This window comes from Homo sapiens, chromosome 4 (genome assembly GCF_000001405.40).
Source record: "Homo sapiens chromosome 4, GRCh38.p14 Primary Assembly".
Lineage (NCBI taxonomy): Eukaryota > Metazoa > Chordata > Mammalia > Primates > Hominidae > Homo > Homo sapiens.
Genome location: NC_000004.12, coordinates 72,143,386 through 72,159,701, shown reverse-complemented (window position 1 = coordinate 72,159,701; position 16,316 = coordinate 72,143,386). Strand labels below are relative to the sequence as shown.

Genomic DNA, 16,316 nt, shown 5'->3' with positions numbered 1-16,316 from the left:
TTTCATTAAATTTCAAAACGATCCTATTATATCTATTTTACGTTTAGAAACTGAGCTGGGATGCAAAGAAGACCATCTCAGCACTTAACAAACATTTTAAATTACTGCCCTATTTTAATATTAGTATTTCTATGCTTCAGCTTCTGTGTCTACCTGAAAAGGTGCTTAGTGATAATGCCTACCTCATACCATGTAAGGATTATGATGCAATGCCTATAAAGACCATAGGACAGTGCCTGGCTCATTATAAAAACTCATTAAATGTTGACATGGTTATAGTTTGGCTCTACTGCTCACTTGTTTTGTGACTTTGGACAATCTTCTTAACATGTATAAGGTCAGTTCTTCATCAAAATGGGCATACTAATGGCTAATACATGGTGATGCTGTGAAGACTTAAGGAACATCGACGGTTCATAGCTCTTGTTAAGAGTGGTGCCACTAAGGATTTTTGGCTTGATTTCCTTAATCCAGCTAGCTTAAATAATAAAACTATTTGGCTTTGTCTGAAAATTTGTATATGGAATAAATGTCTAATGACTATAATTTTAAAATAAGTACTCTTCTGTTGTGATACTTAAAAAATAGTTTTTCAAATAGAGATTCCAAATTTTTAGAGATATGCTTTTAGAAAATTGAAATCAGTATTAAGAAACTAATAGAAAAAAATGCTGGTAATATAGTCCCTGGCAAAGTTCTTTATCTGAAATTCACTCACTATCATTATGCTTTGGCAATAAGTAAAGTATCATTGTGAGTTCTTCAGTAAGAAAAATATATTTGCTTACAAGAAATATTTAATAGAAAACCAAGAATTCTGATTGAACAAGTGTTTTATTTATTTTATTCCAGTCCACAATCACAGATCATAATGTTTTATCCAAGAGGCAATGCAGATATTAGAGTAACAAGTTCATAAGTTACAACACTTGTTCTGACATTCAATTTACTCAAAATCAATGATTATTCACTTACATCTCTGAGGCAATATGCTAAGTGCTAAAGATACAAAGATTTAAAAGCAGATTATTTTTCTTCAAAAGCCCACAGTATAAAAAAGGAAAGCAATAAATGAAAAAAAGCATTTTATATATATTAAGCAATGATACATAGTCCATTATTAGTCCACTCTCATTCCTGCAGGATTGAGATTTTCACCATTATTAATTTTTTCCATTTTAACCTTAATTAGTATTTTTATGCTACATATATGTCATCTTCTGTAACAATGACTCTGTAACTGGTGAAAGCTTACACAAAGTCACTACTCAGGGCTAATTTATCAGGTAAAGAAACTTTCTTGACTTTTTTTTTTATTCAATATTTTTAAATTTGGCTTTTCCTACCTGAATATGTGGTATGTGCAATTGCAGACATAATTATATGAAGAGCAAGCAGTTTCAAATGCTTTATGTGACTCATTTAAGAACAATTTTGCAAATAGGTACTATTATCACCCCATTTTACAAATGAGGACACTGATGCACAGAAGGTTTAATTACCTTGCCCATAATCATGCAACTGATAACAAGCAATGAATCCTTGATTGGAACCTCTCTTCCTGCTCTGGTATCTTTTGTTTTAACTGCCACACTACCATACCTGTGGGCCATGTGAGGCATTAGCCACTGGAAAGACCACGATTATCCTCTTTCTATATTATAATCAGCAACTATAAAACATAAAACATTACTATTCTGAAATTCATGCAGCTTCTTATAGTCTTCAAATTGTAACTTTCTATGTAAATTCATTCAAGCTGAATTTTTGGATTTTTTAATGTATGTATTTTTAATGTCTTGTTTGCTGAATTGAACATATGTTTAATGTGTATGTGGTATAATCCATGCTCCACTAACCACCATCATTCACTATCCAGAGAAAAGAAATGCACTACAGCACAATCCCTAAGCATGAGAGAAGTACAAGCGACCACCAGGTGCAGCGGCTGTCGCTGGATGCTTGGTAAATGTTACCTAAGAGAGAAGGCAGATTCAAACTAGAATTCCTTAACTAGTTATAACGCAAGCCAGGCAGAGATATCATTGAATGAAAGAACCTATTAAAAAGTATAGAAAATATTTTTCCTTACAAAAATGTACACTTCAAACAAATCAAATAACTGAGTTTTTAAAAAAGAAGATGAAGTGTATTCTTTTTATATTTCTCCCATAAAAAAAAAAGATCACAAACAGTGGCACTTAGTTGGCACAATTCCTCTCCATCTGTGGACCTATAAACCAAACAAGCAGGTTACCTGCTTCTAAAATACAATAGTAGGGCCGGCATAGGATAACATTTACAGGCATTCCTGCTCAAAAGGAGAGAAAATGGAAGGAAAAATAGGAGTCACCAATCCCAAATATTTTTTTAAATCCAGTGATGCAGATTCCATTAGGTTCTAAGCCCTAGGAATAATTTTCTGTGGCTTGTGGTTTTGACTCCCTCTGAGCTCTTGGCTCCGCCCTCTAAGCTCTTAGCTCTTTTATGTGGGCTCATGGCTTTGCCTTTTGAGTTTTCAACTCTGTCCTTATTGTCATCTTCCCTTATTCATGAAACATATCACCTTTTACAGTTGAAGAGTTTTATCAGCTTGTTTTTTGCCTATAGAATTTTGGGGATTTTAGAGCCTTCTTTCATGTCATCCCCTCTCAGTCATTTTTAGTTGAATCAGGTAATGTTTTCTGCTGATATAACATTCTCAAAAACTTGGTGGGTCTCCTATGTAGGCCACAGATTAAATTCTATTAGACAAGAGGATCCTCAACAGATTTTTCAAAGATAATCCCATTTCCATTTTTGGCTTCTGCTGAGATGGCTAAGGGTATCTATGAGTCACATGCTTACTCTCTGAATACTCTGATCTTTTGTTTTTCTGAAATTTAGCAAAAGATTATCCAAACATACCCTGGATTTTTTTCATATAGCATACTTTTCTGACAATGACTCTCTTAATTTCATTTTTTGCAATCCAAATAGTCTTAGAAGTTCTCAAACTATCAAAACATGTTTTCTTTTATTAAAGACCATTCTTCCCTTAATTTATTTCCTCTTGAATTTTACTGTAATCAACAAGAAGCAACCAAGCCATGCCTACAATATTTTGCTCAAAAATTTTCTCAGCTAAATATCCAAGTTCTAATTTCCACAAAATGACAAGACCTAATTCTATGAAACCTCTGCCACTACATAACAAGGCTCTCCTTTCCTCAAATTTCCCTAACATGTCCCTCATTTCCTTCTGAGTCTGTACAAGCAGTGCCTTAAACATCCACTTTTCTACTAAGAGTCTTTTCATGACAATGTAGGTATTCTCTAAAGTGATAAATATTTCTCTCTCTCCTGGCTCTTATTTCCTTCTCAGTTTTCACTAACAGAATTGCTAATATCCATATTTTTACCAACAGCCCGTTCAAAAAGATCTAGGCTTAGTCTATCAGGATCCTCAGAATTCTTCCAACCCCTCTTCATTGCCATATTTCAAGCCACTTACACCTACTTATTGTCACTGTGGCTTCTCACTTCCAGGCACCAGGGTCTGTATTCATTTTCTATTATGGCCACAACAAATTACCACAAACTTAGTGTGTCAAAACAACACAAATATATATTCTTACAATCCCATAGGTTATAAGTCCAACATAGGCCTTACTGGGCTAAAATCAAGTCATCATCAGGGCTGTATTTCTTTCTGGAAGCTCTAGAGGAAAAACGCATTTCCTTGCCTTTTCCATCTCTAGAGGCCACTCACATTCCTTGAGTCATGTCCCTTTCCCACACATTCAAAGACAGGTTTCAATTTTTCTCAAATTGTGCCACTCTGATCTCTGTTATAGTCAGAGTTTCTTTTGCCTCTCCCTTCTGTATCTTTCTTCTGCTTAGAAGTACCCTTATGATTATGTTGGGTCTACCTAAATAATCCAGAATGATTTTTTCATTTCTAGATTCTTAGCTTAAGTACATCTGCAAAGTTTCTTTTGTCAAATACAGTAACATACTTAGAAATGCCAGGGATTTAGACATAGATATCTTGGAAGGGAGGAAACTATTATTTTACCTACCACAGAAAGCAAATGTCTTGTGTAAAGACTTGAAAGTACTTTCTAAAATCAAAATTAAAAAAGATTTCAAAAATAAAAAATAGTATATTTGATAATGTAAAAATGTAAACAATCTGTTCTCTCTTTTTTCTATAGTAGTAGAATTTAGACTGGGCACATGGCTGCTTACCTGAAGACTACATTTCCCAGCTGTGCTTGAAGATTGGCATGGCTATGTGAGTAAATTTCACTAACTGTATATGAACAACAGTGATTTGTATACTTTCCAGGTTTTCCACAATTTAAAGACCCACTACCTGCCCTAGAGCTCTTCCTTTCCCTCCCCATGTTCGTATACATGGATGTGCCTATTGGTTAGTTGTGACCATGGAGACAAGAACAAAACTCTGTGGAGAAATTAACTAGTTTTCCATAATTATTCAGATAGTAAATATTTTAGGCTTTGTCAACTGGATGGTCTCTGTGTCAATTACTCAGATCTTCTATTCTAGCACAAAAGCAGCTATAGACAATCTATAAATAAAATGGGCAGAGCTGTGTTCTAATAAGATTGTACTTGCCAAAATGCAGTGGAGGGCCAGATTTGAGGGTAGTTTGCTGATTCCTGCTCTTTAGCAGTCAGAAGGAAGTAATCTGCGTTTCTAAATAAAGGCTATGCTAAACTAGACCACTCCCATCAGGTATAATTTTATGAGAGAGATATAATTATCTATCTTCTTTAAGTCACTTAAAAAAAAAAAAAAACTCTTTCAAGGCTGAGGTCTTTACCCTCATATCTGTATGCATACATGTGCACACAGGTGCATGTTGAATAAGGGAAAATGTAGCTATCTGCCTGCTAGTCAAAGGTTAATATCTTGAATTAGAGAGTGTGTTTACAAGTTGCTAAGAAAAATAAATGGAGATGAGGGCAAAAACCATGAAGAGGGAATTGACTAAGGTGGAAATGCAAATGAATACAAGTGAAGACAAATGAATACAAATGAATCAAATTAAATGTAGATTATTTTTTAATGTTCAATTGTGTAGCAATACACATGGGGATACAAGTTCTTTCTTATCAAATTGGCAAAACAACTAGTTTTATGGAATGCGTAGTATTTGAGAGTGAGTGAACAAAGTTTTACATCACTAAGTGAGGTATTAAATGTTAAAAATCTTTCCAAGAAATATTTGACAATCTGCATTAAAACAGTAAGAAATGTACATGCATTTTTGGCCAAGTAATTGAATTTCTTGGAAGTCTGTTCTAAGATGTGTCGTGGGAAGACAGGGACCCCAAACGGAGTGACTGGCTGAAGCCATGGCAGAAGAATGTGGATTGTGAAGATTTCATGGACATTTATTAGTTCCCCAAATTAATACTTTTGTAATTTCTTATGCCTGTCTTTACTGCAATCTCTAAACATAAATTGTAAAGATTTCATGGACACTTATCACTTCCCCAATCAATACCCTTGTGATTTCCTATGCCTGTCTTTACTTTAATCTCTTAATCTTGTCAGCTGAGGAGGATGTATATTGCCTCAGGACCCTGTAATAATTGCATTAACTGCACAAATTGTACAGCATGTGTGTTTGAGCAATATGAAATGTGAGCAGCTTGGAAAAAGAACAGGATAACAGCAATAGTTCAGGGAATAAGAGAGATAACCTTAAACTCTGACCACCGGTGAGCCAGGCAGAACAGAGCCATATTTCTCTTCTTTCAAAAGCAAATGGGAGAAATATCGCTGAATTCTTTTTCTCAGCATGGAACATCCCTGAGAAAGAGAATACGTGTCTGGAGGTATAGGCGTATAAACAGCCCCCCCAGGTGCGCCTGTCTCTGAAGGTCGAGACTGCAGAGGTGAAATAGACTCCAGTCTCCCATAGCGCTCCCAGGCTTATTAGGAAGAGGAAATTCCTGCCTAATAAATTTTGGTCAGACCGGTTGATCTCAAAACCCTGTCTCCTGATAAGATGTTATCAATGACAATGGTGCCCAAAACTTCATTAGCAATTTTAATTTCACCCCATCCTGTGGTCCTGTGATCTCACCCTGCCTCCACTTGCCTTGTGATATTCTATTACCTTGTAAAGTACTTGATGTCTGTGACCCACACCTATTCGCACACTCCCTCCCCTTTTGAAACTCCCTAATAAAAACTTGCTGGTTTTTGCAGCTTGTGGGGCATCATGGAACCTACGGATGCCCAGCTTTAAAATTTCTCTATTTTGTACTCTGTCCCTTTATTTCTCAAGCTGGCCGACGCTTAAGGAAAATAGAAAAGAACCTACATGAATATCGGGGCAGGTTCCCAGATAAAGACGATTATAAATATGCCCAGTATTTTACAAGGTGTAAATAACTGTATCATTTTATAAAATGTAAGAAATAATTTATATTTCCAGGTACAGGGAAGAAACTCAATAAATAATGGAAGTGGAATGAAAATAAAATATTTTGATGACTACTAAACAACATAAAACATGTCCTTGATACACTAAGTTACATAAAAAGGTAATAAAGTATATGCCTCAGAATAATAGTGAAAGAAAGCATGTACCCTTGCCCCCAAATGACAGCAAGAATGATTATCAGTGACAGCAGAATAAAGAATGATTTTATTTTATTTTATTTTATTTTACTTTATTTTATTTTATTTTATTTCATCTGCTTTTGTATATTACTTAATGTTTCTATTATGTTCTGAATTATTTCAATATTTAAAAATAAAATAACATATTCATAAATAAATTTAATGAAAATTAAAAACTGGTAATATTTGCAACCAGTTAATTTGCTCAAATATTTATCATGTGCCCATTATGAGCCACACACTCTCTTAGACACTGAATGATACAATGATAAACAAGACAAAAATCCTTGCCTTTATGGATTTTGCTTCTTGGTAGGGAATAGATATTAAACAAGTAATTCAATAAATTTTGAAGATTATTGCAGATAATTAGAAGAGCTATGCAGGAAATAGGCAAGGCTCAGGTGGGGTTTCAGTTGAACACTGAAGGCTAAGGGGGAGCCGATATGTGAAGGTAAAGGGGGAGGACGTTCCTGGCAGGAAGAACACAGGTGCACAACACAGAAGCAGCAAAGGGCTTGGCCGATGTCAGAGGAAGAGACAGACAGTCTGTGTGAATGATGAGTATTGAGTTCAAGATGAGGTTAAGAGGTAGGCAAGGGCAGAAAAAGTAAATGTATGTAAGCCTAGGAGTTTGTTTCTTTCCTAATTCGAAAGGAAACTATTGATGGCTTTGAAATGAGAAAGTGACATCTAACTTGTTTTTTAAAAAGATTGTTCTGCCTTTTATTGAAGATGCTATGCCTTAAATACAAAAATGTGTAGCAATGAATAGAAATACAAAAGGAAACAAAAAATACACAGGGAAAATGGCCAAAGAATAGGAAGAGGAAGAAATATAAATTAGTAAGAAATAGAGCAATGTTCAACTACACTAGTAATCAAAACAACAAATTTAACTGATTTTTCACATATAAAAGTAGCAAAGTTGAAGAAAAACTTAACATGTTAAGGATACTGTGAGATGATCAGCCACAAAATTGGAATTTTATATTAATAGTTTTAAAAATAACAAGGTACATATCAAAAGTATTACAAAAATGCTCTTTCTAGTAATTTTCCTGCTAGGAATCTACTTTAGGAAATAATCACTATTGGCAAATTTTATATACAGGGTGCTGAAGTAAGCGTTAGTTAAAATATGTGTTTTCAGTGTGTTTTTTTTCTTCTTGCTAGAGGGATTATGTGTAATTTTATTCTCTTCTTTGTACTATTCTGTGTTTCTCACAAATTCTACAAGTAGCCCAGGTATTATTTTACAATCAGAAAAATGGTGATTGAAGAAGTGGTTAAGAGGTAGTCCAAAATAAGTTCATCATAACACACAGATGATATGATATAGAAGGAAAAAAATAACGTTTTGGAATTATATGTTTCTGAGTTACAAACTTGTTTGTACTACTTTCAAGCTTCATGACTTTGGGTAAACCAGCTTCTCTTAGACTTGGTACTCTCATCTGTAAAATGGGAATAATACATACCTTGGAGTGCTCTAGTGAGGGTTATCAAACATGTAAAATATAACCTAGCATGGGCTTGATACTATTATAACTACTACTCCTATTAATACTTCTCACTATCATCGAGACAGCAACAATCATTTAGCCTTTGCTAAGTTATAGTTTCTCTGCTTTTTATTATACAAACTTCCCCCCATCATTTAATACTCACAGCAGACCAGGAGGAAGGAGCTATTGTTATTCCCATATTACAGATAAGAAAATTCAGGCATAGGAAATTTGTTTGTACAAAGCACTAAGCTATTAGGTAGCAAATCATATATGACTATATAACCTAAATCTTAGTGACTGTGCATGTTCAAGACATTTTAGCTTTCTTTATCTGTTATTTTGTTGTTTCAATTCATAGAAAAGCTCTCCTTTGTCTGTAACAGGTATACTAGAATCTGTATGCAAAATTCTACTTGTTCAGAATTAGACATTCCTCTTAAGCAACATGACAGATGGTTTTTGCCTGTGGCAATTATCTAGCATATATATATTTACTGCCTATTACTGTGATCCACACTGTAGGGGATCTAAAGATGAGAAAGGCCTAATTCATCATGCCCTTAAGAAATTTATATTCTAGTTGCAAGCACAAGACAAAGCAATTACAAGTTAGGTTGTCATATATAAGAGGTACATAGTACTTAGAAAAGAGTAACAATTTCTGCTGTAAGAATGCAGACTTGTGAGAGAGGTGGCTTTTTAACAGATCTTGGACAAAATATAGACAGTCAAATAAGGGAGTAAAGCAGTGAATAATTAACAAATGAGGAAAAACACAACAATCTAGGCTGACCATTTCTGACTTGAGTTTTGAAAACAATTTGTGTCAAATATATAATCAGGAGATGAGGGCCAGTCCATGGTGGGCTTTTAAAATGCACATCTTTTAAGAGGCAGAGAGCCTATTACAAAAAGAGAGAGAGCTATTATAAGAAATATAATAGATAGACTCCCAGAGACTTACTTATATTTGTCAAACTATTTATTAATGAAAGAAAGCAAAGTAGTCCTCCAGTTCAGGAACATGCCTTTGCCAACTTTAGAAATAATTAAAAGATGCAAGACTGAACATCAGGATAAGATGCAGTAAGGAGAGTTTTGTGACCATTAGGGAAGATGAAACAGGGAATAGAAGGTGATAAAAGCAGGCAGATGAATGGGAGGACCTGCAATTTAGTGATAATGAGTTTCAAGTGCTGACAGAATGTGATCTGTGTGAGGAGGCCCATAAGAAAGTGATAGTCTATATCAAAATAATCTTCTATGCCTGAGTACACTGACTGTAAATAGTATTTTAGTAAATCAAGATAAAATAATATATGGTCAAATTCTATACCTACAACTTTTAAGAGTTGCCCTTCATAATTGTAGGAAATAACACTTGTATATTCAAATAACACATGGCTCAATTCAACTAAAAACTCAACAATTGGCTGGGTGTGGTGGCTCACACCTATGGTCCCAGCACTTTGGGAGGCCGAGGTGAGTAGATCACCCGAAATCAAGAGTTCAAGACCAGCCTGGCCAACGTGGCGAAACCCCGTCTCTACTAAAAATATGCAAAAATTAGGCCAGGTGCAGTGACTCATGCCTGTAATCCCAGCACTTTGGGAGGCCCAGGCGGGCTGATCACGCAGTCAGGAGATCGAGACCATCCTGGCTAACATGGTGAAACCCTGTCTCTACTAAAAATACAAAAAAATTAGCCAGGCGTGGTGGCGGGCGCCTGTAGTCCCAGCTACTTGGGAGGCTGAGGCAGGAGAATGGCGTGAACCTGGGAGGTGGAGATTGCAGTGAGCCGAGATCATGCCACTGCACTCCAGCCTGGGCGACAGAGTGAGACTCCGTCTCAAAAAAAAAAAAAAAAAAAGCTAAAATTAGCCAGGTGCAGTGGTGCGCACCTGTAATCCCAGCTACTGGGGAGGCTGAGGCAGAATTCCTTAAACCTGGGAGGTGGAGGTTGCATTCAGCCGAGATCACACCACTGCACTCCAGCCTAGGCAACAGAGAGAGACTTCGTAAAAAAAAAAACCCAAAAAAACAAAAACAAACAAATAAGCAAAAAACTCTACAATTATTTCTCAAAAGACTAGAATGTGGAAAAGTTTTATTCCATTTAGTGTTGCTATAACGGAATTCTGAGGTTTTGTAATTTACAAAGAAAAGAGGTTTATTTGGCTCACAATTGTGGTGACTGGAAAGTTTAAGAGCATGGCACTGGCATCTGCTTGGCTTCTGGTGAGGGCCATGTCCTACGTTACAACGTGGCAGAGAAGCAGAAAAGTGAGCAGGCATGTCCAAAGAGACAAAACATGAGAAGAATCTTGCTTTACAACAACCCACTTTTGCCATAATGAATCCAGTTTCAGAACAGTGAGAACTCATTCCTGTGAAATGACATTAACCTATTAATGAGGGTGGTGCCCCCATGATCTGATCACCTCCCTCTAGGTTCCAGCTTCCCACACTGCCACACTGGGAATCAAATTTTACCATGAGTTTTGATGGAGACAAACCACATCCAAACCATAGCAAATGCTTTTAGTTTGAACCACAAAAATGACTGAAAAAAGTAAAATAGCTTCACTTCTAGAAATTTATTTTTATTTGCCAAACTGTTTATTTTGTTATAATTTCCAATTTTCTAGAGATTTACCTCATCCTAGAATAAAAGGTAACATTGACAACCATTATCATTAGATAATTCTAACATAGCTGAAACCAGGGGTTGTTAATTCATTTTTAAACAATAATACTAGTTTACTAAACCCAGGGTGCTGGATTTGAATGTGCTCAGTAGAAGATTTGAAATAATTGTTCTTGCTCTCTATGTGAGAGTCATGATAATTGTTAAACATCTATGATTAAACACTTCAAAGAAAGGTGCCGTTTTTCTGCTAACTGCTGCATTATTAAAGGGTTTGCTTCTTTACATCAGAGATTCTGTTAGAAAAAGGGGTTAAGTTGGGGTCCTCAATCAGCTCTGTAACAAATGTGTGTTCAACTAGGGCATAAACTTCACTTATGAAAATATGAAAAAGCCAACAAAAACTCCTTTGTACTCTTTTCAAAAAAGCAACTTTTAAATATAAAGAAATATGTGTCCCTTTATTTGCTACTACAGTTCTAACACACAGGAAGTGAGGGCCTCTGTGATGTAATTACCCATGGACCTATAATATCTTGCCTTTGTAGATTAACCGAAATGAAGTAATGGAAATGAGAAAAACAACAGCAGAGAATTTCATGTGATCGAATGTATTTCTTAGAAAACCAAGTACAGTTTATAAACATAAGCAGAGTAATAGTCTTGTAATCTAAAATTTTAAATCCAAAATCAAAGGAGAAATTGATAAAATCTAGTTTCATGCAAAGCACTGCTCATCATCACCATTTGGGGAAAATACACACACACATGCACGCACGCGTGCAGGCTTGATTTGACGCATACACAAATGGTTAAGTTTGGAAAGATGAGGCTTTGTAAACTGTTCTCTAGAAATATATTTATTCATGCAAACATGTCTAAGTCACTCTACGTATTTTTATACAACATAAGATTGTTTATGATCTTATGACCATTTTTGTTTATTTTTAATTTTTTTGCCAGAGAGGGCTTTCAGTAAATGTTTTATTTAGAACATTCTTTGAAAAATTTGAAGTGCAAAGCCACAAAAAGCAATGGATTTAAATATATAATGCGTAGTAGAGTTAGGATTATCACACTAGCTCTTTTTAAATCTCACTGCTGTTAGTAGTTTCTTTTAATTCTTCCATCACTAATTCCTGTTGGGGTTTTTCAGCACTTTTCCTATAAAGCAAGGTTTCCCCATGAGGGTTTTGAAATGTAGATTCCTGGACAAGCTGATTAGATGTGTTTATGAGCACATGGCTTTTAGCTTTTAGGGCATAAGCTTCCATAGGCTTTGCTCTTTTTTGGCAGAGCTGGAGCTGGAAAGCTTCTTGGAAACCACGGCGGAAATTCTCGTTGAAGAAACCATAAATGATGGGATTGACACTGCTGTTGCCGAATGCCAGCCAGTGTGCAAAAGGGTAGATGTAGATGTTGATGATCTGCAGTTCATTTGGAGAAAGGTCAGCGTAGTCTGAGAGCATCATTAGAGTCCACAGGGGCAGCCATGAGAGAATAAAAAGCAGGGCCACAATCAGGAGCATCTTAATGATCTTCTGCTTCTTCCTGGACACCACGTGCCACTGCTCCTGGTTCTTCCTGCCTGTGTGAGGAACTGCAGCCCTGAAGAGTGAAATTCCAATCCTTCCATACATGATGACAATGAGGGAGAGGGGAGCCAGGTAGATGTTGGCAAACAGCACAGTGGTGTAGATCTTCCTCATTTCCTGATTTGGCCAGTCTTCCCGGCACCAGTAGACTGGACTGGTTTTATTCTGGGAGTTGAGTCTCACTCGGTAATATTTTTCTTCTTGCACATGTAACATTACTGCAGATGGAGACATAATGGTGATGGCTAGGACCCAGATGATCATAATAATGACAAACGCTGTCTTGATAGTGAGCTTTGGTTTAAAAGGGTAGACCACACACTGGAACCTGCAATTAAACACAAATATAAATGAGGCACTGCTTCATCACTTCTGACCAAGTCATACACCAAATTTATTTATGTAGTTACAGGCCTCTCACCCTACAGTCTCCTCAAAAATATAGAAAGTTACCATTTGTAGTAGAAAGGCATGCATTGTCATTTTCTGTAATTGATATGAGATAAATTTTAATTCAAAATTTGAACAAATGGAGTATAGCAGACACTATTAATAATAAAAAGTAATAATGAACATGAATGCCTAAAACCGTTTCAGACTCTGTTCCATTAATTTGCATGGACCGTCTCTTTAAGCCTCCTTGCTTAAAAGATAGCAAAACAGACTTGGAAATGTAAAAATCTTACCAATAATTACACAGGATTTTAACACAAGTAGTTTGGCTTCAGAGCTCAAACTCAACCTCTACATCGTCCTCTTTAGATGGGTAGCTCTTAGGCTGTGGTAGACTGCTGATCTGTAGCAATCAATCAACCTTTTATCCCTCAGGCTCTTGTGTGGTCCCCTACGCATTATCTGTGTAACTTGCTTTGACCAATAGGATATTAGCAAACATGATGCAAGCAGAAGCTTTTTATACACTTGCATGTGGGGCAGGTCCTTCTGGAATGCTTCCTCTTAAAATCCAGACTTCAATTTCCAAGAAGCTTGAATTAGATGAAAGGCATGTAGAGAAAGATTCCGGGAGATAAGAGCTTAGCCATTTTGGATGTTCCAGCCCCAGTTTAGCTCCCAGATTAATGCTGCAACATGAGTGATTCCAGTTATAACACATGGAGCAGGAGGATGAACAAAGAGGTGCCCAATTAACCCACAAAATCATGAGATGTAATAAACCAATATTGTTTGAAGCCACTAAATGTTTTGCTGATTTGCTTTACAGCTGTAAAAATCTGAGAGTATTCATTATGAGTTCTGATTATGAGCCTTCCTAACATTCTATGTCCTCTGGTGAGTACAAAAATTCAGCATCAGTATGTAGAGTAAGCCTGATTCATTTTACTATGATTTTGATATTGTGGATCTTGTTATTATTATTGAATTTCATTATGTTAATCAAAAGATAATCACACTATTATGCAACTGTGTAACATTTTATATTTTTTCAAAGTAACTATTACCTATTTAATCTTCTTTGATTTTTATGACTCCATAAAACTGAAATGTTATGAAAATTGTTACATTCCAGATCTGTAGATAAGAAAATGTAGAGCTTTAAGTGGCTGAGCAGCAACTCCAAATTAACTTATCTAACTTATCTTCATAGAATGACTAGTTAGCCTGGGCTTTGACTGCTCTGTTGTCATTCTTTATAACTCCTTCATGTGTAAGATCTTCTCTCTTCAACTTCAAGCGTTCTTCCAGTCTTCTAATCCAAGAATTCTCCCATTCACCTGCCGTGAAATTATGGGTAATTTCATAGACACAAACGTATGTATTTTGCTCTTTTTGAATACCTACTAATAGGGTTTTGGATATTATTGTTCAATTTACTTATTAAACAAATATATAAGTACATATATTTATATAGGAGATAAATTTTAACTCAAAATTTGAATAAATGGAGTATAGCAGACACTATTAACAATAAAAGTAATAATGAACAAATATAAAAGTACATATGCTTATCTGTACATATATGTATTTATATATTTGTATTTATAACAAATATATGTATTTATATATTTATATTTATAACAATATATGTACTTACATATTTGTTTAATAAATGTACATATATGAGTATATATACTTATATATTTGTAAACATACATATATATGTGTTTGTGTGTATATATTCAGGAAGGCAAAGATGAATAAGATAGAGAATAGTCCCTGCTGAGAAAGTCAATGGAAATATAAAAATATTAAAAACTGTATAATAATTACTAAAATTCTGCTAAAAAGTTTGGACTTCATTTAAAGAGCAATGGGGATTCATTGAAGGATTTACATTGTAAAAGGCAGGATCATTTTTACAATTTAAGAAGCTTATTTGGGCTGCTATGAGAAGAAAATAAATTGGAGGTTGGCTTCCTGAGCCCGAAGGCCAGTTAGAAAACAATCTCAGTATTCCAAGTGGCAAAGGGCAGTGGCCTGGTTCAGAACTAGTTAGCACTCAGAAATAATAGAATTTGGAGAGTGCCAGCAAAGTTGACAGAAAGAAGATTCAAGGATAAAGCTCAGGTTTTTTGTTTGAATTGAGTGAGTGGTCCTGCCTTTCACTGATTTGGGGAGCATGAAAAAAACAGCTGCCTTTTATTTTGTTTGTGTATGGTGTGGGGCTTGGAATAATGAGTTCAGCTCTGGGCATGTTTAATTTAAGGTGCCTTTTGTTGAATGTGCAGTTGAAGTTGTACAGTAGGTGCTTTGGAACGTAACTGTAAAATTCAGGCAAAGGATTCAGTCAGGAGAAATCAGCTTGGGAATTTTTTTAGTTTGGCTTCCTGCAAAAGCTAGCCCTGAAAAAAAAAGCATTTGAGTGCAAGTGCAAGAAATAAAGATGTGGCAGTTTTAAAACATTTCCAAGTTCTTTGACATTGCTTCCAAATTCTATTCCTTTTTCCTTGGCTAAGGATTGATGACTCAGTCTCATGAATAGAATGCAACAAAAATGATACCACATCATGATTTTTGCTGGTACTCTCTTCTGGGACACAAACCGTCAGAGCCCTGAACTGACATATAAGAAGTCCAGGTACCTTCAAGTAGCCTTGCTGGAGAGCCCATTTGGAGAGACCAATAGAGACAAAGCTCTCTTAGGCCCCCACATATTCAAGTTCTCCCTGGACTAGGTACCAACAGGAGAGTGAAAGAAGGTTCAGCCCTAACCTTGAAGCTGCTCCACCTGACATCAAGTAGAACAGAGACAAGCTGTACTTTCTAAATCTGTACATATCACAGATTCATGACATAATAAATATTGCTGTCATTTTAACTCACTAAGTGGTTTGATTTGGGGGTGGTTCATTATATATCAATAGATAACTGAAAGTATAGAGAAGTCATTCATTAATGGGAAGGTAGGTAACGAGGGATGTGAATCAAACCATTTGTTGCAGAATTATTCAACCCAAGGGGAGAGAATGGTGAGTACATCAACTCTCATGAGATTTTAGTTGAGGGCTACTTCTAGGGGTATTAATTATCTGACATTTCTTGTCTGTTCTGCTTAGGAACTAAGACTTTGCACAATTTGGATTTGAGATACAGAGATGAAGATACTGGCAGTTGGATGTAAGACAGAACCCACTGAAAGTTTAAGAGATCTGGCAGAGCACTGACAGTCTCTGCTACAAAAGTGTGATGGCTAATTTAATCTATCGACTTGACTGGGCCAAGGGGTGCTGAGATTGAATCTTATTTCTGGATGCGCCTATAAAAGTGTTTCTGGATAAGATTAGCATCTTAGTCAGTGGATTCGGTAAAGTGGATTGCCCTCCCAGTGTGGGTAGGCATCATCCAGTCATCTGAGGGCCTGAATAGAACAAGAAGTAGAGGAAGGAGGAATTTGCCCCCTTTTTTCCCTGACTCATTGCTTGAGCTAGGACATCTCATATCATATTCTCCTGCCCACAGGA

At 35.9% G+C, this 16,316-nt stretch overlaps 1 protein-coding gene across 5 annotated transcripts in view, besides 1 other annotated feature; it reads right to left on the bottom strand.

Moving 5' to 3' along the window:
- Window positions 5,577–6,363: an enhancer, noted in NCBI's record as "OCT4-NANOG hESC enhancer chr4:73019056-73019842 (GRCh37/hg19 assembly coordinates)". NCBI's record gives its function as "activates a minimal SCP1, AML or CMV promoter by ChIP-STARR-seq in primed H9 embryonic stem cells {active_cell/tissue: H9 hESC(primed)}" and the evidence as "EXISTENCE:reporter gene assay evidence [ECO:0000049][PMID:30033119]".
- The window catches only part of NPFFR2 (neuropeptide FF receptor 2), a 116,306-nt gene continuing 111,386 nt past the window's right edge, over window positions 11,397–16,316 (bottom strand). For 4 of the 5 annotated variants that reach the window (NM_004885.3, XM_011531554.3, NM_001144756.2 and 1 more), the window contains one exon: window positions 11,397–12,724. In NM_004885.3, coding sequence (NP_004876.3) covers window positions 11,890–12,724 — 835 coding nt within the window. In that variant the 3' untranslated portion in view covers window positions 11,397–11,889. Of the gene's footprint in view, window positions 12,725–13,082; window positions 13,190–16,316 lie in introns of those variants that run through there. The other variant, XM_047449545.1, reaches the window with a different exon arrangement.